The 23,319-nt window shown below is 40.3% G+C and overlaps 1 non-coding gene and 6 pseudogenes across 1 annotated transcript; 2 read left to right on the forward strand and 5 right to left on the reverse strand.

The window, feature by feature from the left end:
- Positions 1 to 10,334: 10,334 nt before the first annotated feature.
- LOC101060042 (X antigen family member 3-like) lies at positions 10,335 to 22,856 on the forward strand (annotated as a pseudogene).
- On the reverse strand, positions 15,825 to 16,355 carry MTCO1P52 (MT-CO1 pseudogene 52; annotated as a pseudogene).
- Positions 16,750 to 17,781, reverse strand: MTND2P24 (MT-ND2 pseudogene 24; annotated as a pseudogene).
- Positions 17,851 to 17,922, forward strand: NMTRQ-TTG1-1 (nuclear-encoded mitochondrial tRNA-Gln (TTG) 1-1; annotated as a pseudogene).
- MTND1P30 (MT-ND1 pseudogene 30) lies at positions 17,989 to 18,925 on the reverse strand (annotated as a pseudogene).
- Positions 19,010 to 20,060, reverse strand: MTRNR2L10 (MT-RNR2 like 10 (pseudogene); annotated as a pseudogene).
- SNORA109 (small nucleolar RNA, H/ACA box 109) lies at positions 21,098 to 21,225 on the reverse strand. The gene has a single exon (NR_132964.1). It is a non-coding gene; the product is annotated as a small nucleolar RNA, H/ACA box 109 (small nucleolar RNA).
- Positions 22,857 to 23,319: the final 463 nt, after the last annotated feature.

The raw sequence follows: 23,319 nt of genomic DNA on the forward strand, positions 1-23,319 counted from the left end.
GTGACCCTGCAGCCGAGGCTGTGGAGTAGACAGCCCTGGACAGGGGACTTTTAGACTGCCATGTTTGTCGCTGCATTGTGCAATTTTAACAAGAATCCTGCTAAGTCAGTTTAGTTAGAATTTCCCATCATCAATATCTCAGTTAGGTTCCTCATCCCCCAGGTGATGTCTAGTCACCCTGGCCCACCTTCACCAACAATCCTGTTAGTTCAATTTAGCCACAATACCCCCTTACCCGTGGTGTTTCCTCTTAGTAATTTTCCGTCCATTGCTCCCCACCCTGCTCCTTGGCTATAAATTTCCACTTTTCGTTGTTGTATTTGGAGTGGAACCCAGTTTCTCTCCCTTCACTGCAAAACCCCATAGCAGTGGTCCCTACACCTATCTTGATGGTCCTGAATGAAGTCTGCCTTACCGTTCTTTAACAAATGCCATGAATAATTTTTTTTCCTTAACACCCTTCACTTGGATCCCATGCCCTTCCACATTCTCAAGGAACAAGCTTTTGTAATGATCATTCCTTTTACTTGAATCACCATGTTCTCCATGTCTATCGGATCATGCTATCGTCTACAAAGTGGGCAAATAGATGGTTAGAAATGAGGGATTTTGCTTTCAAGAGCTGATCTTGGTTATTGCTGTGTTGTAGGTGAGACCCCAAGGGGCTGCATTCTCTGAGGAAGGTGGAGGGGTTGGAGGGTATGGAAAGTGGCTGATTCAAGAGCCAGGGGTGCTACCATGGGGCAAGCTTAAGCCAGATAAGGACTAGGTTACCTTGCAGCTGAGGCTGTGGAGTGGACAACCCTGGCCAGGGGCTGAAGGGAGGATGAAGCCCAGATTCAGAGGGGTCTGCAGAAGCTAGCACACATGGGCTGAGGCTGAGTCAGCCAGGGAGTACCAGATTCTGACCAAGATGAGAGAGACAAAAATGCAAGTTACACCAGCCACAGACATACGTGAGCAAATCAGCATCACCAGCAGGATTTGGGAGATAAGTTAGCCTTCCTTCAGAAACCACTGAGGACACTGCAATCAACATGAGACTCCTAAGCAATGCAGACCATGTATTAGGCCATCTTGCATTGCTGTAAAGAAATACCTGGAGTCTGGGTAATTTATAAAGAAAAGAGGTTTGAATTAGCTCATGGTTCTGCAGGCTGTACAGAAAGCATGGCGCCGGATTTGTCAGAGGCGTTCGAACCAGAGCAATTCTATCTTGAAAAAATAGGAAAAATCTAGGAAAAAGGAGGCTGGGATTTGCTTGGCTGCATTCTCAGAAAATTAGGTATTTCTAGCCTCTAGATGTTTTTACTGAACAGACCCAGACTTAGGAGTGTCGTGATATCCCAATATCTTGAGAACAGAAGCATTCCTAATTTTGCTTTAAAGATCATAATATCAATTCTTGCAAGATATAGTAATTAAGAAAATTAATCCTTTATCACAAACCCTTGTAGCAGAGCACATCTCCCCATAATCTTTTTTATCCTGTATATAAACGAGTATTGTACCTAGGGTGGATGCATTCCTTTTCTTACTTTTGGGAATATCCTACTCTGTCTGTAGAGTAGCTGTACTTTCACCACTTTACTTTCTTAATAAATTTGCTTTTGCTTTGCACTGTGGACTCACCTTGAATTCTTTCTTGGGCGAGATCCAGGAACCCTCTCTTGGGATCTGGATCGGGACCCCTTTCTGGTAACAGCTTCTGGGGAGGCCTCAGGAAGCTTTTGCTCATGGTAAAAGGTGAAGCAGGAGCAAGCACTTCACGTGGCAAAAGCAGGAGCAAGAGAGAGAGAGAGTTGGAGGAGGGGAGGGAGGCGCCACACACTTTTAAATGACCAGATCTCATGATTATTATGTAATGTCCGATTTTGTCCCTTGTAATAATCTCCACTATAAAGAGTGCTTTGTGAGGTATTAATTTGACACCTTGAGTTTTTATGTGGTTCATGTTTGCAGGGTATATCTTCTTCCATCCTTTACTTGTAACTTGTTTATTTTTAAAGTGAGGTTCTCTTTTTCCCAAGATACAGATTAGCGATAAATATATTGTGAAAATCAAGATCTTCTTGCAGCCGTGAAACGGTAACAGTAAAAACACCAAAAAATCAGATGTAGAAGTTAATATGGAACTGAAGTGTTATGCAGAAATCCACAGAATAATTTGTTAGGTTCCTCAAAAGAACCTCAATCAAATTTACTGACAGCCTTTATAGAAAGATAACTTGAAACTAAAGTGATACATTTATATGAAAAATATTACTTTATCACCCCATTTTCTGCAGTAGGCTTTTAGATGAAATTTCATTTCACAAAAGTGTTCTGTTGCTAAAAATATTTTGAAAATGGCTGTATAGGATAATGTTTCAGAGGTCTCTCAGCTTAGAAATTTTGGGATTCAAATATCCTTCTCTACATTGAATGGAAAAAGTGAAAAGAGAACAATATCATGGGGGAGGGAAATGTTGGTCTACTGTATTTTTCTTTTCTTTTTCTTCCTAAACTAACCGGTCTGTGTTGGTTCTCAGCTGTGCTGTTAATCCAGGTAAAAGATGCCCTTCAGGAGAATACATGGATTCATTGGGCCCCAGGGAAGTTTTGAATTGCTCAGAAACAACAGCCAGAATAACTTTTGAAAGGCTGTAAATGGAGATGATTGAGATCTTCTGATATGGTTTGGTGGTGTCCCCACCCTGTGGAAGGGACTCGGTGGGAGGTGATTGAATCATGGGGGCAGGTCTTTCCCATGCTGTTCTCACGATAGAGAGTGGGTCTCACAAGATCTGATGGTTCTATAAGGGGGAGTTTCCCTGTACAACCTCCCTCCCTTTGTCTGTTGCCATCCGTGTAAGACGTGACTTGCTCCTCCTTGCCTTCCACCATGATTGTGAGGCCTCCCCAGCCATGTGGAACTGTGAGTTCTCCATTAAACCTCTTTTTGTTTTTTTTCTTTTTTGTAAATTTCCCAGTCTCAGGTTTGTCTTTATCAGCATCATGAGAACAGACTAATACATCCTCTGATTTATGTTACTTCTCACTCAAGTTGCTCAAAGTGCCTTCTCATCAAGAGCTGTTTGGGTAGAGACAGACACATTTGTTCAGCCCTATTTTTCTCTGTTTTCTTCTCCTCCTTCCTTCCTCTTTCCCTCCCTCCCTCCCTCCCTTCCTTCTTCCTTTCTTCCTTCTTTGTACAAAAAATAAGTGAATTTATTTCTTCTCAGTAGAAATATCAGAATATTTCATAAATTTTGTGAGTTTTTTTGAAACTTTTATTTTGGGTTGAGGAGTACATGTGCAGGTTTGTAATACAGGTAAATGCGTGTCACAGGGTTTTGTTGTACAGATAATTTTGACACTCAGGTATTAAGCCTAGCGTCCATCAGTTATTTTTCCATATCCTCTCCCTCCTCCTACCCTCCACCCTCTGATGGGCCCCAGTGTGTTGGTCCTTGCTATGTGTCCATGTGTTCTGATCATTTAGCTCCCACTTATAAGTGAGTAAATGTGGCATTTGGTTTTCTGTTCCTACATTAGTTTGCTAATGATAATCACCTCCAACTCCATCCATGTTGCTGCAAAGGTCATGATGTCTCTCTTTTTCTTATAGACGCATAGTATTCCATGGTGTATATGTACCACATTGTCTTTATCCAGTCTACTATTGACAGGCATTTAGGTTGATTCTGTCTTTTTTATTGTGAATAGTGCTTCAATGAACATACTTGTGCATGTGTCTTTATATACCTAGTAATGGGATTCTGGGTCAAATGGCAGTTCTGCTTTTAGCTTTTTGAGGAATTGCCACACTCCTTTCCACAGTGGCTGAAATAATTTACACTTCCACCAATAGTGTATAAGCATTGCCTTTTCTCCATAAACTCACCAGCATCTGTTATTTTTGTTCTTGATTTTTTTATTTAGCCTTATACTGTTTGACTATTTTTTTATTTGAGACAGGGTCTCATCTGTCTGTGAACGTGGATTCTACTTATGTCAGAGACTTCTAGGGATTCCAGCTCTCTCAGCTGCCTACGTTTGAACTTTATGAATTTATTACATTTCAGTTGTTTCCTTCTTACCCACTTTTATGACTGTCACTTCTTGCACACATGTTCTGCCAGAGGTAACACAGTTTGTGTGTGTCATCTCTCCTCAGAGGGGCTTGTCATCCTCTTGTATCAGTTCCCATGGCTGCCTTATTACCTCAGCTCTCTCATGATCTAAAAAAAAATGATAATATAGGTTATTAGGCTTTTTCTCATTTTCAGGGCTAAAGTGACTTTCTCTTGAGCCTTTCTAAATATTATGTGGAGGTAGAGCTCTCCTTTGTTAATATTTTGACTACTGGTACAAAAATGCAGCATTCAAATATTTGAATTAAAAGATAATCCAGGGGATAGCTGACTATGGCTTGGTAGCTAAATCCAGCCCATGGCTCATTTTTGCATAGCCTTTAAGATAAGGACTTTTTTTTTTTTACATTTTAAACTCTTATTTTTAAAAAACACAACAATATGCCACATAATCTATGTGGCCCACAAAGACTAAAATATTTATTGCCAAGCCTGTTAAAGAAAAATTCATGACCCTGTATTAATCTAATATCTACCATTCTGCATCACATTAAGAAATACATTTTCATCCATTATTTAATTTATTTACTCGCAGATTGAAAAGTGTGGATTATTTTCTGATCTTACCCTATCCCCTTAAGAAAGCATCCAGCTTTACCAAACCATGTTTTCAGTCTGAGAAACTTGTCCCAGGGCTTAAATGATACAGAAACATATATCTGAGGTAGGAGACTGGCAGGACTTGTTTCTGGTCATAACCCTGCTGACTAAAACAGAATCTGATTCAGACAGAATAAAGTGGATAAACTGGCAGAAACCAGCAGATGGCCACAAGGGTGATCCCTGGTTGCCCTTATTGCTTATTAGCATGAGACACTCCCACCAGCACCATCGCAGTTTACAAATGCCATGGCAATGACCTGGAAGTTACAACAGCTTCCCATGGCAATGGCCTGGAAGTTACCCCCTTTCATAGAAAGTTCTAAATATCTCGCCCCTCAACTTGCATTAACCTGCCCTTAATGTACATATAATTGAAAGTGGGTATAAGTCAATAGAAATGCGTTTGCAAAGACCCCATAAGTTGGTGACTCTGAGTGTAGTGCCTATGAGTTAGCCCTGCTCTGCAAGGAGGAGTTCCATTCAATAAAAGATTGCTGTCTGACACTACCAGCTCACACTTGAAATCTCTCCTGGGCAAAGCCAAGAGCCCTCTCAGGCTAAGCTTCAATTTTGGGGCTGGCCTATCCTGCATCAGTTTCAAAGGGAGAATTTTTCCAAGTATTCCATGATTGTGTATTTCTCAAGGTCATTTAAAAAAATGTCAATATCTCAGAATCTTTCATTCTATGTCTTGGTCAATGTATCATTTATGTAAGCATGATGGTGACATATACCTCAAGTGTAACGTCTGTTAGTCTGATTATAAATGCAGTAGAATTATTGCCCAGTAAGATGTAACATCAAATATGCATATTTAATTGCATTGGACTCCTCCGAGTACTTACAGGAAAGTTGGTAAGAATAAATATTCATGCTTGAAAATATTTTGGAATATGTGTAAAACGGATCAAATCCGAATACCACAGATGGCACTGTCACTAGATGCTAATGAAGTACATAATAGGAACCATAAGAGACAGTCAATAATAAAGGGGGGAAATGAAAGGGAACACATCAAAGCACCATCAGATGAGTGCAGAAGCACACACATGAACACACCCTGTAGCTGCAGAAACACATGGTAGGAACTAAAGCCCCACCACTAATCAGACTTTTTCTCACCAACTCAGGAGTTCGCAAATGAGTTTGCTAAGGGTCAAATGCCCACAATAAAACTGACCAATTTAAACATCACTGAGAGCTACTTAGAGCATTATGTAGAAAGCTACAGACAACAGTGAATTTATTCTGAGCAAGTCTTAATCCATCATCTTCACAGATGGCTAAAGAAAGGGCCTCTAAACATTTTGTCTCATAATCTCTAAGGTAGTGACCTTCAAACTCTTTTATTACAATGCATGAGAAATACACAGTTTGTATATACTTCAGTACACAAATAAATATAAGTATGTATATGTGGATGTGCCGTGTATTTGTATATTTTGTATGCAATGGATACTATTTACTAATTATTTTATCTCATTTCTTTAAAATTATCATTCTTTGAACTCATCCAGCTGGTCAAGGGTTATCTCCCACAAGAATGGTGGGAAGAAACTTAAATTTGGCATGAGGTTAAACACTGCCCTTTGAAGCTGGAGTGCGGCTACTCAGCAATCATTAAAATCCAGGTCTCAGTGAAGAACAACCATGCAGCCATCTGATGCCATGACTTTGATCATGTGTTAATTAGTTGCTCACAGAAAGTCTAAATCCGGAAATCACTATCTTCCATTCTTTGAGAACTTGTGAGTGCACTATACTAAAAACTGAAATTAACAAGAAAGATAAAAGATACACTAAATATTAGGTCAGGATTATGACTGCTCTTACTCCAAACAAACCAAAACCAAAACAAAACAAAACGAAAATAAAAACAAGGTCCAGGCGCGGTGGCTCAGGCCTGTAATCCCAGCACTTCGGGAGGCCAAGGCGGGTGGATCATGAGGTCAAGAGTTCGAGACCAGCCTGGCCAACATGGTGAAACCCCATCTCTACTAAAAATACAAAAATTAGCTGGGAGTGGTAGCGCATGCCTGTAGTCCCAGCTACTTGGGAGGCCAAGGCAGGAGAATCACTTGAACCTGGGAGGTGGAGGTTGCAGTGAGCCGAGATTGTGCCACTGCATTCCAACCTGGGTGACAGAGTGAGACTTCATCTAAACAAACACCTTGAAGAACCACAATTCCTACTCAAGCTGCTTTTTAGAGACAGAGAAATTGAGAAACCTCTCTTTTCCTACTCAAGGTATTTCCTTAAGGGAAGCCCAGCTGGATGGAATATATAGGAGTCAGCTCAACAAGATGTTCTAATTTACTTACAAAAAGCTACGTCTGATCAGGGCCCCCTTCCTATGCTTCCTTTTCATGTACTATTTCCCACATTAAACTGCTAAGTAATATAAAAGTAAAGACAACAGGAATCATGCACACAGCTTACTGTCTACGTTAGTGTGAGTTTATACTCCACTAGCTTCATCAACATGTTTACTAACACAGGAATCTCTTGCCTAGGAAAATAAACGTTGCAAAGAACTTTACTGTTGTTTCAGCAACTGCCTGAAAGATCTATCAACTCCTCAATAAAAGGTGTCAAATGACGTTTTTCAATCCCAAAACTCTTTGAAGCCTTAGTCTAAAAATCCTTGTCTTGTTGGCTCCATCAATCCTAAATCATTATGATTCCTACCCAATTCTAACAAAACTGTCCCTGACTTTAAAAGACCCACTTTACACCAGATTTCAAACTCAGAATAAATGTGCCTAAAGCCAGTACACATCTGACATACTAGTGGCTCTTTTGAGGTAGTGCTCTTCCTTACAGTGCTATGCAAATAATGTCAGAGCTCTCTTATGAACAGGTTATTTGGCTGCTATTTGGGGAGTGCAGTTTATGATGAGCATAGTCACCACTGCTGTACATCATGTCACAGTAGACTGAGCCTAGATCCTACCATCAACATCTATGGAGATTTCTGAACTATAACACTGCCTGAATGACCTACAGTTATATTCATGTAAATCTGTTACTATTCCAGAGAGTTAAATGTGCAATAACACAACCTAAAAATAGTAAACAGGTGTGTATTTATTTAGTCTGCATTAGAATTTAGTTAAACTCATTGCAAGCATGACAGAAAACACAGAACCAAATAAAAATTGATTAATCAAAGCATGTATAAAAATTGGCCAAGGTGGGAGGATCACTTGAGCCCAGGAATTCAAGACCAGCCTGAGCAACATAGTGAGACCACTGCCTAAAAAAATAAATCAATCAATTGCCCAGGTGTGGTGTCCACACCTGTAGTACCAGCCACTCGGGGGGACTGTGTCTTGAGGATTGCTTGAGCCCAGGAGATCGAGGTTGCAGTGAGGTATGGTCATGCCACTGCCCTCCAGCCTGGGTGTCTGAGTGACATCCTGTCTGAAGAAAAGCATTTATAAATATAGATATGAAAATAATTTAGTTCTTTCACAAAAGGTCTTTCTATGTCCTCCACTAAGGGTAATGTGGGACTGTCTGTTCCCAAAGTTTCTGGATGCATGAGAATGGTTGGCAAGAGACAAAACAAAACAAAACAAAAAGATCTCTCAAGTCCCTTTCTTTGTGTTCCTGAGACCCTGTGGATGTGAGTCTGGGGACAGCAGGAAAACCCTGTCTGGCCCTGCATGTATGTGACTTAATAGTGTGCATGCCCCTTGCTGGGCAAGTCCTTTGTTGCCCATGTGCCTTGGTGTCTGTCTCCTGTCCCTGCAGAGCCCTGATAGATGGTGACTTTTTTTTTTTTTTTTTTTAGGTGGACTCTCGCTCTGTTGTCCAGGCTGGCATGCAATAGCATGATCTCGGCTCACTGCAAACTCCGCCTCCCAGGTTCTAGCAATTCTCCTTCCTCAGCCTCCTGAGTGGCTGGGACTACAAGTGCACGACGCCACGCCCTGCTAATTTTTTGTATTTTAGTAGAGACAAGGTTTCAACGTGTTGCCCAGGCTGGTCTGGAACTCATGAGCTCAGGCAATCCGCCCGCCTCGGTCTCCCAAAGTGCTAGGATTACAGGTGTGAGCCACTGGGCCTGGCGACAGATGGTGACTTCTTTCGTTCTTGTCAACTAGGATCCAGCCAGTAGGTCCGCAGATCAGCCCTCCCAGAAGTTGAAGGGGGAGTGAGTGTGAGGAGGGGCGGGTGGTCTTTGCGTGCATCAGGCGACTGGATCCATGGCCACGTAGAGAAAAGGGTTGCAAGGTGGTCATCCTTCTACTAAAAGGCAGTGATGCTGCCATGGCCTTGTTGTCATGGGAGGACCAGACAAGGAAGGAAGGAGGGCCCTAGAGGGGAGGAGGGTCAGTTGCACTTGGAGTGAGTTGTGAAGGGGTACACTATTTGAGGTCTTTGAGTCCCTAAGCATATGAATCCTCCCACAGAGGACGGATTCCAACTTCCTTAGTGGGGACCTGGGAAGGAGAGGAGGACTGGACGTGGCGGGACAAGGAGGGGCAACTCAGCCCACAAGACAAAGTCAGATCTCACTGTGCATGCTTCTTGGGTGGCCGCCTCAGTGCACATGTTCACTAGGCTTCCTCTGGTCGACCCCTTTGCAGCACGTTGCAAACGCTATGGGGCTGAGAGGGTGTGAGGGTCGCTTTCCTGCTGTCTGGACTCTTTCTCCCCTACTGAAACATAGCGGGTAGGTCCGCAGGCCAGTCCTCCCGGGAGGTGAAGTGAGAATGAGTGTGAGGAGGAGCCAGCAAGCTTCTGAATGGGTCAGGCGGCGTGGTCCCTGGCTCAGAGGTAGAAGTGCCTCAAGGTCGTAGTTCTTCTCATGCGGCACCACGGCCATGGGCCTTCTGGTCTTGGCAAGGCCACAGCTAGGGAGCAAGGAGGGCCACGGAGTGGAGGGGGGTCAGGCGGAGTTGGGGCGACTGCTGGGGTTGCTGTTGGAGGTATCTGAGTCCTGGAAGCATCTGGAACCCCCAACAGAGGAGAGATTCCAGACTCCTAGGTGGGGAGTCTGGGTGGGTGGGAAGGGCTGTGAAGGGACGAAGTGCGTGGTAAGGAAGGAGGCTAGAAACTGGGAACGCTGTGGGCTGGTGACCACAGCCCTGAGTTCTGTAGAGTGCCCGGCAGAGGTGGCCCGTGAGGAGCACCCAGCGCTGTGTCACAATTTCTGAACTCCACCGTGGAGGTTCGAATGGGCCGGGCTCTGCATTCCAACAAAACTTGATTTTAGGGGGCAAATGGGCCTAGCAAATGGGTGTGTGAGATAAGCCGTTGCCACTCAGATTTTAATTCTCTGGCTGTATTTTCCTAAATGTCTCCATGATGGAGAGTCCAATTGTGACACCAAAAACCTCATCAGAAATTTCCTGCGTCTTTGCCAGGAGCCTTAAGACATTGCTGTGCTAGCTTGACCAACATAAGTAGCTTTGCAAGCATACGATTCAGAAGACATACACACACACTTGCCCTGGGACTTACTTTCAAAGTTTTTCCAAATTTTAAAAAAATTACAAGTTAACATTTGTCCATAGAAGTGGCCAAATATAGCTATCCTCTCAAGTGCATTTTCCCAATCACCGTATTCTGTTTGCAGAGTGAAATATGAGGTGCCAAGGAAGATCAACATATAGGCCTATACCAAGATGAAGTTTATGACCTTCTGAGCTGACTGTGCCTCTGCTTGTGAGTGCCTTAACATTCAATGTTTTCTATTAGCAGAAAGTTATTTTTGTGATAGTGTTGTTGAAATAGTATACATACACTGGTAAAGGTCTTCCATGCTGATAAAAAATGATCATGGCATCTCATGAAGGACAGACTAATCCAAGAGGATTATGTTCTGGTTTTGTCTGGATGGATGATCTTCTGTTCCACGGTTTTTGCCCATGACTTCCTTCTCATGCTTATTGATAACTGATTGCACACATCTGTACCAAGACAGATTAAAATGGCTTCCAAAGCCCTTGAGGGTAACTGTCTTAGAGTAAACTCTCTGTGGGAAGAGTAACTTTATGAAACATTAAGAATATGAAATAGTGTTGGAGAAATGTCTTAGACTTATGATCAGAAGTATCTATGTATTCTGTATACTTATATTACTGAGATGTATGTGAGTGTATTTGCACACACTCATCCCTCCTGGTCCCAGGAGCCCAGTCATGAAGAGTCTCAAGAAGAGGAACCACCAACTGAAAGTCGGGATCCTACACCTGGTCAGGAAAGAGAAGAAGATCAGGGTGCAGCTGAGATTCAAGGTGCTGGGAAGGGAACGAAAGATGTCTGTGGGAAGGGGAGGAGGCCTATGTGTGCATCACACATTATACCATGACCAGTAACAGGAGGAAAGAAAATATTAGGAAAGGATGTCAAACATTTGCTGAAAGTTGGCTGGAAAAGTGAAGAGTATGGTTTGCAGTCTTGTGCAGTCTCTGGATATAATGAATCTTCTCTTTTTCTTTGAGATCTACTTTGTATGCTTGCAAATACAGTCCTTGCTAAATTAGGACTTAGGTGACCACAGCCTTGAGGTCTGTAGAGTGCCTGGTAGAGGTGTCCAGTGAGGAGCACCCAGCGCTGTGTTGCAACTTCTCAACTCCACCCTGGAGGTTCGAATGGTAGGGGCTCTGCATTCCAACAAAACTTGATTTTTGAAACCATTTGATGTAAGAAAATGTACATTATTTCACTAGTGTAATTTGATCTTCTTAGAATGTTATATCATCTTCTCAACCGTGGTGTCCACAGTGTTGTATGCACCCTTTAATAGCACGTAGAGTGCCAAGTCACCCTACCTTGTAACACCCTGAGTAAAGCCCATTTGCATAGGAATGTTAGCCCCATTTTATAAATAAGAAAACTGAGTCTCATGGGTTGAGGTTTACCAAAGAACACTTGAGTCATGGAGACAGAATTCATATTTCGTTTCAAGGTTTATGTTCTTCCTATCATCTATGTTGTAAGAGAAAGTGACTGGTTTTGCTTAAGATGCGTAATACTCAAATATGGCTGTACTATAAGGTACTTCATTATTGGCTCAGGACAAAACACAGTTCAGTGAAGCAGGATAGAAACTCCAGAAAAGAGCTCAATGAATGACAGCCACTGTTTCCTTTCATTGGTGTTTTTGACAGTATGTTTGGTAAAAGTTGGATAATTCAGGACACTGGCATATGGATAGCTATATTAGTATGATTTTGAGAGGCTTTTAAAAGTTGTTTAAACACTTTTATAATTAGAAAACTTAAAGTGCTGTAAGATTATCATGAAACAGAAATTGTTTCCTCAACGGGTAGCATTTTCAAGGTAAACACTGACAGAATTTGGGCCATGGATTATTTAGCAATTCACTGTTAAGGGGTTTCCAGAATATGACTGTCCACAATCCTGGTTTATTTATTTATTTTAAATTATACTTTAAGTTCTGGGATGTATGTGCAGAATGTGCAGGTTTGTTACAGAGGTATACACATGCCATGGTGGTTTGCTGCACCCATCAACCCATAATCTACATTGGGTATTTCTCCTAACGTTCTCCCTCCCCTAGCCCCCCAAGCTCTGGACAGGCCCTGGTGTGTGATATTCCCCTCCCTGTGTCCATGTGTTCTCATTGTTCAACTCCTACTTATGAGTGAGAACATGCAGTGTTTGGTTTTCCTTTTCTGTGTTAGTTTGCTGAGAATGATGGTTTCCAGCTTCATCCATGTTCCTGCAAAGCACATGAACTCATCCCTTTTTATGGCTGCGTAGTATTCCATGGTGTATATGTGCCACATTTTCTTTATCCAGTCTGTCATTAATGGGCATTTGGGTTGGTTCTGAGTCTTTGCTATTGTGAATAGTGCTGCAGTAAACATATGTGTGCATGTGTCTTTATAGTAGAATGAATTATAATCCTTTGGGTATATACCCAGTTATTTATTTGCACTCAACTTCCTGTACTCTCACTGCAGGACAGTGATTTTGCTGTTGTTGTTGGTACTTCATTCTCAATGAGATTCATCTATGGAAAGTTACATGTAGGGCCTTTGGACCTAAGCATAACTTTAATTCATTTTACCAGAAAATGTTCAAGTTATTTCAACAAGGGATGGGTGTCACGACTGTATGACTTGTCATAGGCCAGCCAATACATTGATGTAAACTCTCAGAAAATTACATTTAAGTTATGATTAAAATGCTATTTATGTGGCAGACTTCAGATTTCTTAGATAGTTGACACTCGCTATTCATAATACACAATGGTAACTAACTTACGGAAAATGTAGGTATAGTGTGATTTATCCTTAGATTGTCATTTAAAATAAGATTTCAGGCCAAGACCAGTGCCTCATGTATATAATCCCAAAACATTGGGAGGCCAAGGCCGGCAGATCCCTTGAGCCTGGGAGTTTGAGGCCAGCCTGGGCAACCTGGGGAAACTCCATCACTACTAAAAAATACAAAAATTATCCTTGGTGGTGGCATTCACCTGTAGGCTCAGCTACTCGTCAGGCTGAGACAGGAGGATCCGTTGAGCCCAGAAGGTTGGGCCTGCAGTGGGCCGAGGTGGTACCACTGCACTGCAGCCTGGACAGAGTGAGACCCTGTCTCAAAAAGCAATTAAATACATAAAATAAAATAAGACTTCATAATATGAGAAAACGAAATTGTAACATTTTTGCATCACATTTGTTATGACACTAGCCTACAGGCTTTTATTTCATAACGCTGAGGAAAAGAATATTATAATTTCCTTATTTATATTTTATGTTTGTCTGCTTCAGTCGATAATTTTTGCATTTTTAAGTGTCTGACCTGGAAGCTGATCTCCAGGAATTGTCTCAGTCAAAGACTGGGAATGAATGCAGAGATGATCCTGATGTCAAGGGGAAGATTCTGCCAAAACTAGAGCATTTTAAAATGCCAGACGCAGGTATGTTATCCATTAAGATGCAAAATTAGGTGCTTTCTGTTTTCCACAATATTATACTTTTGATAATAAAAGCAGAGAACATTAGTGCCCCTTTAAAAACAGAGCTCAAATACAGACTTTCTTTGAAAGGTAGTTCAGACCCTGAATGCCTGACTGCAAGACTTAAACACTATCAGATACAGAAACAAATTGGGTCAAAGCCATGTTGAATCATCAAATGTGAAAGCATTTTCTTCTGAGTATAACCAACAGCTCACAATTTTCGAATTAGTTTTTAATTTCTGCTTTTAACAAATACATTGTGCATTTGTAATACCAGTTTGTGTGAAATGTGCTGAGAACTGAAGAGGATTCTAGTACCAGCTCTACCATAATTTGTGAGATTCTGGATGAATCCTATAAATTCTACACCCATGTTTGCTCTTACTGAAAATAGTGAATGCACATCAGATTAAATTCCATTTCAGTGCTGATTTCTACATGCTGTGGTTTTGTTGGATAGAATACAAAGATACTTGACTTTCATGATTTGTTTATCATAACAATCAGCTTCAGTCCAATTATAATATCTGAGTTGAGACTTCATTGCTCCTAAGAAAATAAACAACCACTCTGCTTGATATTTGTTTCTCTATATGGAGACCTGAATGACTGTTCTTGGATTTTGTCAAATTCTGAATTCTGCGGCTCTTTTTTTTTTTTTTTGAGATGGAGGCTTGCTCTGTCGCCCAGGCTAGAGTGCAGTGGCGCGATCTCTGCTCACTGCAAGCTCCGCCTCCCGGGTTCAGGCCATTCTCCTGCCTCAGCCTCTCGAGTAGCTGGGACTACAGGTGCCTGCAACCACGCCCGGCTAATTTTTTGTATTTTTAGTAGAGACGGGGTTTCACCGTGTTAGCCAGGACGATCTTGATCTCCTGACCTCATGATCCGCCCGCCTGGGTCTCCCAAAGTGCTGGGATTACAGGCGTGAGCCACCGTGCCTGACCAATTCTGTGGCTCTTAATGAATAATGGCAGTTTAAATCCTTTCAGCCGTGAAGCCTTGAATATCTGAATAATAAAATGGCAGGAGACAGGTTTCTGTGGCCCATGAAGTAGGGAGAATGCATGTAGGCCAGTGAGCATGCTCCTTGCCCTACTGTTAGTCTTCATGAGCTACTGTGTGTAATTACATTGAAGACACATATGATAGAATCACCTCTAACTGTATCATAGATTACATATTATAAATTTCTGTCTTGAGATGTCAGTTAATAGGATCTAAAGTTTAAAGTCCGTAACTCACTAATTCCTGAGTATTCAGCATAGTTTACACATATTTTCCAAATTGCTGACTGTTAATTAGAAGAGCTTCTGAATTTAAAGGAAACACTCCATGTTTAGGGAAGAAATTACCTAGATGTTTTTACTCTACACTGCTAAACCATTTCATTAGACTATTTGCATTAAAAGATAGTTTTCAGACTATTTCCAGGAGCCTATTGAACAAGCCTCAATTGCATTCTTAGGAAGATCATAGCCTTAAATGCACATCTTATTAAAGCGGATAGCAAATTACATGATACAAGAAAATCATAATAAAAAACAAAAATAATAATAAAAGAGCAACAGAATAAACCTAACAGAAGAGGAAAGAGGTCGTGAATAAAAGACAGGTACAAATCATTAGTAAAATGCAAACTAATCCAAAAGTAATAAATTTAAAAGCTTGTTCTTTTGAAAAATAGCTATGAATAAAGTATCCAGTAGTATATAGTAGTTTACACTATCTAGAAGAAAATGGAAAAAGATGGACATGGAATATGTACAAGACACAGGTTTTGAATATAGGGCGTAATAGAAAATGAATACATTCTTGAACTCTAATATTTTCAAAGTATGGATGAAATTATTGATATGATAAGAACACACTCATTATTTAACATATTCCTGTAATACCTGAATATCTAAACATCACAAAGACTGTAGAACTTGTGACATTTGCCAGTTGTCCCTCAAACACACTTACTTTTAGAAACAAATATTTGTCTTCTTCACGTGTCTTACTCTTCTTTTCCATTTCCCTCTATCTCTGTTTCCTTTTTTGCCACACTGTTCATGATATATACTTATTTGATGTTTTGATGTCAAAAATAGTGATAGCTTAACACTAATGTGGCTATATAATTAATTATGTAATCAGAAATACTTTCCTAGTGAAAAAAGAGTCATTGTGGTAATAAAGTTAATGGCCCCTAAGATAGAAGAAACACCTGCCAAGTGGAGCAAGAAGATGGTCAGATCCACAGAGGCTTCTTCATGTGCTAGATTTCCTGCTAAAGGGGGATAAACTGTTCAGCTGGTTCCAGTGCCAGCTTCTACTATTGAGGATGCAAGTGGAAGCAGAAAAGATGGGGGAAGAAGTCAGAAACTCATATTATTTATTCGGGGGAATGCCATGTTGGGTGCACCAATTATCAGAGGGACTAATCAGTTGCTGAATCCCCCAATTATGACTGGTATTACCAGAAAGAAGATCATAATGAATGTGTGGGCGGTAACAGTAACATTGTAGATCTGATCATCCCCTAGCAGAGTTCCTGGTTGGCCTAATTCTGCTTGAATTAGAAGGCTTAAGGCGGTGCCTAGTATCCCTGCCCATGTGCTGAATAGCAGGTATAGCGTTCCTATGTCTTTGTGGTTAGTTGAAAACAATCAACAATTAATGAACATAAGTGGGGAAAAAAAGGTAAAATGGCTGGGTAAGCATTAGACTGTAAATCTAAAGACAGAGGCCAAGGCCGCTTTTTAGCAGCCCTGAGGGGATTTCTCATGTTGAATTGCAAATTCAAAGGAGAAGCTTCAGTCCTGCTGGGGCTTCCCCCACCTTTTCCCCCAACGGTGGAGAAGTAGATTGAAGCCAGTTGATTAGGGTGTTTAGCTGTTAACGAAATTTTCGTGGGTTTGAATTCCACCAATCTAGCAAGGGCTTAGCTTAATTAAGGTGGTTGATTTGCATTCAATTGATGCAGAATAGAGTCTTGCAGTCCTCAGGTCTGTTACAGAAATTAAGTGTAATCTTCATGCTTTGAAGGCTCTTGGTCTTATTTAACCTAAATTTTTAAGTTATAGTTAGTATTAATGGAGAGATAGGTAAGAGGAGGGTAGAAGAGATAAGTGGGGGGAAGAATGGTATGGGTTTTGTGTTTTTGAATTGTCATTTTATTTTCATATTATTAGACGTGGGGAATAATGTCACTGAGGTGGAATAAATTAGGCGTATGTAAAAGTACAGGTTGAGTAGGGTTATGATAGCTATAATGTTTCAGCAATAAGGCTCTTGTTTTTTGTAAATTCTTGGATGATGATTCATTTAGGCAGGAACCCTGTTAATGGAGGTAAACCTCCTAGAGATAGTAGAATTAGTGGAATTATAGGTGTCAACCATGTTAATTTGTTTCAGGTGTGTAATAGTGACAGCGTTGTGGTGCTTATACTCAGGTTGAGTGTTAAAAATATGGTTATTGTTAAGATAAAATAAATAGGTTTAGAATGGTAATGTTTGGGCTATAGAGTAGTGCTGCTATTATTCAGCCTATGTGAGTGATTGAGGAGTAGGCTAAGATTTTACACAATTGTGCTTGGTTAAGCCCTCCTCAGCTGCCTACTATAATGGATAGAATTGTGATAGACAGGAGGATGTTCATGTTTGTTGATGGGAAAATTTAAAACATAATCGATGTTTCTTCACAATATCATGTGAGGAGAAGTATACCAGGTATTAGAGAGGTTCCTTGGGTTACCTCTGGGACTCAGAATTGAAAGGGGGCTATTCCTAGTTTTATTACTAGGGTCACTATTATTAATGATGAAAATTGATTAATAGTGTTTATTATTGTTCATTGTCCAGAGGACAGGTTGTTGAAAAGGATACCTATTATGAGAATTACAGATGTGGTTGCTTGCGTAAGGAAATATTTGGTTGCTGCTTTTGTACAGCTGTAGAGTGGGGACTTATATTTTTAATTAGGATTGGGATAAGGGCTAGTATGTTTATTTCTAGGCCTGTTGAGATGAGAAATCAGTGTGATCCTAGCATTGTGATAAGAGTTCCTGTAAAAATAATAAGGGAAATAGCAAGTTGAGCTAAGGGTTTAATTAGTATGGGAAGGGTGTAACCAACATTTTCGGAGTATGGGCCCGATAGCTTATTTAGCTGACCTTACTCTAGGACATGGTGTGATAGGTAGCATGGAGAATTTTGGATTCTCAGGGGTAGGTTCAATTCCTACAGTTCTAGAAATAAGAGGATTTTAACCTCTGTTGTTTACTCTATCAAAGTAGTTCTTTTGTCAGACATATTTCCTATGTTTGGGGTGGGATGCTAGAAATTAGGACAGGCATTGAGATATGTCATATACAGCATGCTAGTGTAAGTTGTAGGAAATTTTTTCATAGAAGATATATGAGCTGGTTGTAGCAGAATCAAGGGTATGCTCTTAGAATTCATAAGAATAGGGTGGTTAAAAGAAGGGTCTTGGTAATGAAATTTATGGTATAGAGTTCTGGTGAATATATGGTATGTAGTGCTCCTAGGAAGATAGTGGTAGTTAGGGCATTTATTATGATAATATTCATGTACTCTGCTATAAAGAAGAGGACAAATGAGCTTGTGGCATATTTGATGTTGAAGCCTGAGACAATTCTGACTCTCCTTCTGTTAGATCAAAATGGGCTCGGTTAGTTTCTGCTGGTGTGGGGATAATCACATTATGGCTAGGGGTAATGATGGTAGGAGCAGTCAGAGGAGTTCTTGCATTGTGATGAATGCATATAAGTTAAATGAACCACTTATCAGTAAAACTGATAACAGGATAATGGCTAGGGTGACCTCATTTGAAATTGTCTGGGCCACAGCTCGTGATGCGCCAATTAGTGCATATTTTGAATTAGATGCTCATCCTGATCATAGAATAAATGGCTAGGATTGATATGGCTAGTATAAATAGGAGGCCTATGTTAAAATTAATTAGAGGATTTGGTATAGGGAGGGGAGTTCATAAGAGGAGATCGATAGGAAGGGCTAGGATTGGAGCAATAATATAAAGGGTAATAGTAGATGTTGAGGGCTGTAAGGGTTCTTTGGTGAAAAGTTTTATTGCGTTAGCGAATGGTTGAAGCAGCCCGTAGGGACCTACAATGTTAGGTCCTTTGCGTAGTTGTATGTAGCCTAAGATTTTTCATTCGATGAGTGTAAGGAATGCTATAGCGATGAAAGTAGGGATAATAAGTAGGAGAAGGTTAATTATAGGTATATTGTTAATGAGAGGAGTTGAACCTCTGATTATAAAGTTTTAAGTCTTATGCAATTGCCGGGCTCTGCCATCTTAACAAACCCTGTTCTTGGGTAGGGTATGTGATGATTTGTTAGATTGAGATAGCATCATCTGTGGAGCGAGGGCACTTTATGAAGTGGGCCCTATTTCTCTTGTCCTTTCATACTAGGGGAAATGTTAAATAGATAGAAACCGACCTGGATTACTCTGGTCTGAACTCACATCACGTAGGACTTTAATTGTTGAACAAACGAACCCCTAATAGCGGTGACACCATTAGGATGTCCTGATCCAACATCGAGATTGTAAACCCTATTGTTGATATGGACTCTAGAATAGGATTGCGCTGTTATCCCTAGGGTAACTTACTCCGTTGATCAAATTATCGGGTCAATATATATTAACTTGCTTAGGCTAGTGCAGTCTTAGTTTAGGTTGCTCGGAGGTTGAATTATGCTCTGAGGTCACCCCAACCAAAAATTTTAATGCAGGGATAGTAGGCTAGGGCCTGTAGGCTTAAGTTTTTATTTGCATTAATAAATTAAAGCTCCATACATAGGGTCTTCTCGTCTTATTTGTTTATATCCGCCTCTTCGCGGATAGGTCAATTTCCCTGATTAAAAGTAGGAGACAGCTGAACCCTCGTGTGGTCATTCATACAAGTTCCTATTTAAGGAACAAGTGATTATGCTACCTTTGCACAGTCAGGATACTGCGGCCATTGAACGTATGTCACTGGGCAGGCAGTGCCTCTAATACTGGTAATGCTAGAGGTGATGTTTTTGGTAAACAGGCGGGGTAAAATTTGCGGAGTTCCTTTTACTTTTTGTATTCTTTCCTTAGAGCATACCTGTGTTGGGTTAACAGTGTAAATAATAAAGAGCTTATTATATCGTTTATTAATATTAGGCTAACTGTCAGTGGGTTATTCCAGTCTGATGTAAGCTTATGCAATGGAGAATGTTTTCATATTACTTATATTAACATTATTGCTTCTATTAAGTAATAGATTAGTCCAATGTGATGTTAGGAGTTCAGTAGAGTGACTAGAATTTAAGATAGATGTTGAGCTTAAACGCTTTCTTAATTGGTGATTGCTTTTGGGCCAACTATGGTGGAAATATTTTTTACTCTCTGTAGGAAGGTTGTTTCCTAGGGTCTAAAGAGCTGTCTAAACTTATGGGGAGATTAAGTAATTCTGTGGGTAAGTTTAAAGTTGAATTAAGATCCCATCTTGGACAACCAGCTATCACCAGGCTCGGTAGGCTTGTCACTGCTACTTATGAATCTTCTCACTATTTTGCCACATAGGTAAGTGTGCTCTTTCAGCTGTTCTTCGGTAGCTCGTCTGGTTTTGGGGAACTTGGCTATAATTCTCTGTGTAAAGTTATTTCTAGTTAATACATTATGCAGAAGATATAAGGGTTTGTCTTTGCTTTTTGATGCTTGATACAGTTCTTTCATCTTTCCCTGACGGTTCTATGTCTATTGCGCCGGGGTAAAAATTTCTATTGCCTATACTTTTGTCTAGGGTAAATGGTTTGATTAAGATAATTTAATAATATTTTTAGTGAGGTTTGGAGCTAGAGTTGGCTCAAAGTGATCAGGTCGTGATGAAATCTTCCGGGTGTAAGCCAGATGCTTTGGGTTAAGCTACACTTTGGTTTGTCCAAGCACACTTTCCAGTACGCTTACCTTGTTATGACTTATCTCCTCTATATGTGTGTAGAAAATTTTTAGTAGTAGTGATTTCTGGAGTAATACTTGAGGGTGACGGGTGATGTGTGTGTGTTTCATGGCCTTATTCAACCAAGCACTCTGCTCTTGGTTTACAGCTAAATCCTCCTTGAGCCTTGGATTTCATAAAGGTTGTCGTGAGAGTTTCTGAACATAGAAAATGTAGCCCATTTCTTGCCACCTCATGGGCTAAACCTTGACCTAACGTTTTTATGTGTGTACTTGTGCTTACTTTATAACCTTTTTAGGGTTTGCTGAAGATGGCAGTATATAGGCTGGGGGGAAGAGGTGGTGAGATGTGTCGGGGTTCATTGATTATAGAACAGGCTCCTCTAGAGGGATATAAAGCAACGCCAAGTCCTTTGAGTTTTAAGCTGTTGCTTGTACTACTCTGGCGAATGGTTTTGTTAATGTAACTATCAGGGTTTAGGGCTAAGCATAGTGGGGTATCTAATCCCAGTTTGGGTCTTAGCTATTGTGTCTTCAGGGTATTAAAGCCACTTTCATAGTATATTTTATTTCAGCTGAAGTTTTTTACAACTTCGTTGGAGTTTAGCTTTATTGAGGGCAGACCTTAAACACTCTTTATACCGAGCTCTATTAGCTCGGGTTAATCCTATGGCCGCGGTGGCTGGCATGAAATTGACCAACCCTAAATATTAGTATAGTTTAGTTAAACTTTCGTTTATTACTAAAGATTTATTACTGCTGTTTCCTGTGGGGGTGTGGTTGAGCAAGGTGTTTTGAGCTGCACTCGTGCGTGCTTGATACCTGCTCCTTTTGATCCGGGTGATCTAGAGGGCATTTTCACTGGGGCAAGGATGCTTACATGCGTAATCTTACTAAGAGCTAATAAAAAGGCCAGGACCAAGCCTATCTGTTTATGGTGTCGTGTGGACCCATCTAGGTATTTTCAGTGTCTTGCTTTGAATAGTTAAGCTACATTAACTATATAAATACTTAAATGTAAAATTAAAATATGAAAAAGAAATAAGTACGAATGGTTGTTTACAGTTCTGGAAATTCAGGGTCTTTAAAATTGAATTGGCAGAGGTTTGGCCGAGAGGGTTAGTTATAATTAGAGTATAATTGATTTAGGACATAATATATGGGGCAGTGTTTTCAGAGGGATATGCTCAAAGTATCATGTTAGTATTAGGGCAGAAGTATAGTTATTGCATTTATTGTATGAAATGGAGGATAAATTTGGTGGGAGGGTCTTAGATTTTTTAGAAAAAGTACATCAATTGAGGGGTAGCTGTTGGGGTGTTCGTCGTTAAAACACGATTTCTCGGCTCCGACTGGGTTGCATTTTAGTCTCTTGTTTTTGGGGTTTGGCAAGGGTACATTTACCTAGGTTGATGGTAAAGTCAGAGATGGGGGGAGGAGGGATTTGCAGATTCAATCGGAGATAGTTCTTGAAATCATACATGCATGAGTGTACGATTTTTCCAGTGAAAAAAGAGTCATTATTCATGTTGACATCAGCACTGTTAGGTGAAAACTGGGGACAAATGTTTACCATACCTGAAAAACGACATAAAGATAAACTAGCTTAAAGCAAGTTTTTTTTTTTTTTGTACTTTTGCACAAGAGGGAAAAATCAAATACTGGCCTTTCTATTCACTTCAGTTATGCAGTTCTTAATGTGACATTAACTGTTTTCTTAAAAGATAGCTTTCAAACAACTTCCAGGAGCCTATTTGACATCCAGACCATAGTTTCAAGCCAGAACATTAAATTATTCTTTTTTTTTGTAAATTCCATTTGTTTCTTAGGTTTTTTTGAGTGTTGGTTTTATTTTTAGTAAAATTATACACAACTTTTGTTTTCTATTTTAACCCCTCTTTTAATAGGTTCACTTGATTTAATGTGTTCTGACTTCGGACTGTCTTTTGGTTTTCTTGTAGCACTAGAAAGTAGGGTGTGTTTAAAAAAATTTTTTAATGTATATGCTTGGAAGTCTATCTCCAAAGTCTCTACGAGGTCTAACGGAATGTAAGCTGAAGGGTAACTCTTAGACTTCTGGTTTTAGTCCATTGCATAAAAGTGAAACTTTGGTGTTGTTTGCAAACCTTTAATGTCATCTGAATACAGTTCTGCTAGTAATGTCCCCTCCTCTTATGTTTCTATCATAGGTGAAGGGCAACCACAGGTTTGAATGAAAATAAGCTGAAACAACGTAAACTGGTTTTATCTAAGATGTTTGACTTAAAAAGATCTCAATAAAGTTTTACAGTTTTTTCCAAAGAATTCTTGCACATCTTTTGTTAATTTTATTTCCAAGTATTTGAGACTATTGAAAATTGTGGCTGGGTGTAGTGGCTCACGCCTGTAATCCCAGCATTTGAGATGCTGAAGCAGGAGGATTGCTTGAGCTCAGGAGACTGACACTAGCCTGGGCAACATAGGCTCTACGAAAATGAATGAAGGAATGCATGAATGTATGCATGTACGTATGTAATTGTAGTCCCAGCTACTCCGGATGCTGAGGTGGAAGGATCCCTTAAGCCCAGGAGGTCGAACATGAGGATGAGGTTAATCATGTTCAGGTCACTGCAACTTCAGTCTGGGTGACAGAGGGAAACTTTGTTTTTTTTTAAAAAAAAGGCGGGGGGAAAGAG

This window comes from Homo sapiens, chromosome X (assembly GCF_000001405.40).
Source record: "Homo sapiens chromosome X, GRCh38.p14 Primary Assembly".
Taxonomy (NCBI): Eukaryota; Metazoa; Chordata; class Mammalia; order Primates; family Hominidae; genus Homo; species Homo sapiens.